Source organism: Homo sapiens, chromosome 15 (genome assembly GCF_000001405.40).
Source record: "Homo sapiens chromosome 15, GRCh38.p14 Primary Assembly".
Classification (NCBI taxonomy): Eukaryota; Metazoa; Chordata; class Mammalia; order Primates; family Hominidae; genus Homo; species Homo sapiens.
Window position 1 is genome coordinate 23,926,614 of NC_000015.10, and position 2,075 is coordinate 23,928,688.

General features: G+C 42.6%; 1 annotated feature.

Moving 5' to 3' along the window:
• Positions 344-558: a silencer, noted in NCBI's record as "fragment chr15:24172104-24172318 (GRCh37/hg19 assembly coordinates)". NCBI's record gives its function as "represses an EF-1alpha promoter that drives an FKBP-Casp9 reporter gene in an ReSE screen in phorbol 12-myristate 13-acetate-treated (for megakaryocytic differentiation) K562 erythroleukemia cells {active_cell/tissue: K562(+PMA)}" and the evidence as "EXISTENCE:reporter gene assay evidence [ECO:0000049][PMID:32094911]".

The window sequence follows — 2,075 nt, forward strand, 5'->3', positions numbered from 1 at the left end:
CCTCTGTTTATACAGATCAGGAAAAGAAACCTTTGGCCAGCTGTGGTGTCTCATGCCTGTAATCCCAGCACTTTGGGAGGCCCAGGCAGGAGGATCACTTAAGCTCCAGAGTTCAAGACCAGCCTGGGCAACATAGCGAGACCCCATCTCTACTAAAAATACCAAAAAAATAGCTTGGTGTCGTGGTATGCACCTGTGGTCCCAGCTACTCAGGATACTGAGGTGGGAGGATCACTTGAGCCCAGGGGACGGGGGCTGCAGTGAGCCAAGATCGTGCCACTGCATTCCAGCCTGGGTGACAGGTGAGACCTTGTCTCAAAACAAGAAAATAAAAAGGGAAAGAAACTTTAAAAACCAGGTCCACTCATGCCATGCACAGCTCCCTGTTCACAGATCTCAGCACTCTGCTGGGTAGCCCCAGGCCTGTGCGCAGGAACCATGCATACAAAGCGTACAAAGCCATAGGAGTACCTACTGCACTCCCACAGAAATCCACAAGGTCAAGGCTCTTGCTTCTATTGTCCATAATCTGGAGAATATTCTCCACGCTGCAGTTATAGCTTCAATGAGAAAATGAGCTTCTGCAGCCTGCAGACCTGGAGTGAGAAGATACAGCTGACCTGGGCCACATATCTCACCACTGAGGTCAGGATAGCAGATATTTAGGTGCTGTTAAAATGGACATTTGTATTTCAATAATCCTTCTCACTCTTCCATGCTTATATTTTGCTCCATGAATAAGGATAATTTCCTTTAAATTGATAATCTTAAAACAAGGAGAGTTATTCTGTTAATTGTAACAGGAGTTCCTATAAGCTAAGTGACTTGTAAAATGCATTTCCTCTTCATTTTTATGTATACATTATAGTCTATTATGATGTTGTATACTGTGAATAACATCCCTCACCAAAATCTTCAGGGGACAAAAAAGTAGAATGGCAGACCATAAAGGAGACCCAAGAGGATATGGACAAGGAGTGATCCATCCCAAAATGGCAAGAGTGACAATGAGCTCTGTGTGCTGAGTTAAAAAAAAATAAATTTCAGACACAAAACTGTGCTAATATGATGTCACTGGCACAGACAGCACAATGCTGAGGACTGAGTTCCCAAACATGACTGATAGCCTGGAAGATGTGATTTCTCACAACCTGTTTAACAGCTTGTTACCAGATTTCACTTAGGCTGCCCTGCCTACAAGAACTCTTAGAAAGATGCCATTGAAAAGGTCTAAAGTCTTAGATGTCATCAGGAGCCAACACTGTCTCCACCCTCTATTCTGAATAGAAAAGAGTGTTCAGTGGATGCATAGCTTCTGTTTCTGAGATCAAGGCTTGTTGTTAACTTAATCGAGCCTTCCTAGAATTTGAAAATTTTAGTGCCAATAAACCCAGCATCCTAAATTATAAATTATATGAATTTCTTCTTCATTAAACATACTCTTTAGGCAACACCAAAGCCCATTTCATTTCTAAGTACCTGAAAGTAAAGTTGACCAGAGGAACAAGTGGTCAGAGAAGAACATTTTGTGAAAACTACAATGCATCTGCATCTGCAGTGACTATTCATAAAGTTGTTATTGGTGTGAGCATCATTCATGTGATTAGAAAGATGAATGGTGATGTATTGTGGATTTGTATTCCTGCTCAAATATCATGTTGAAATATAATCCCCAGTATTGAAGGTGGGGCCTGGTAGGAGGTGACTGGATCATGGAGGAAGTTTCTCATTAATGGTTTAGCACTGTTCTCCTTGGTACTGTTGTCACTATAGTGAGTTCTCACAAGATCTAGTTGTTTAAAGGTTTGTGGCAGTTCCCAGCCTCTCTCTTGCTCCTGCTCTGGCTATGTGTTGTGCCTGCTCCTCCTTCACTTTCAGTCATGATTGTGTTTTGAAGCCTCCCCAGAAGGTGAGCAGATGCCAGCATCATGCTTCCTGTGCAGCCTTACAGAATTGTGAGCCAATTAAACCTCTTTCCTTTATAAATTGCATGATCTCAGTTTTTTTTTTTTTTCTCTTTTTTTGACGGAGTCTAGCCCTGTCGCCCAGGCTGGAGTGCAGTGGCGCAATCTCGG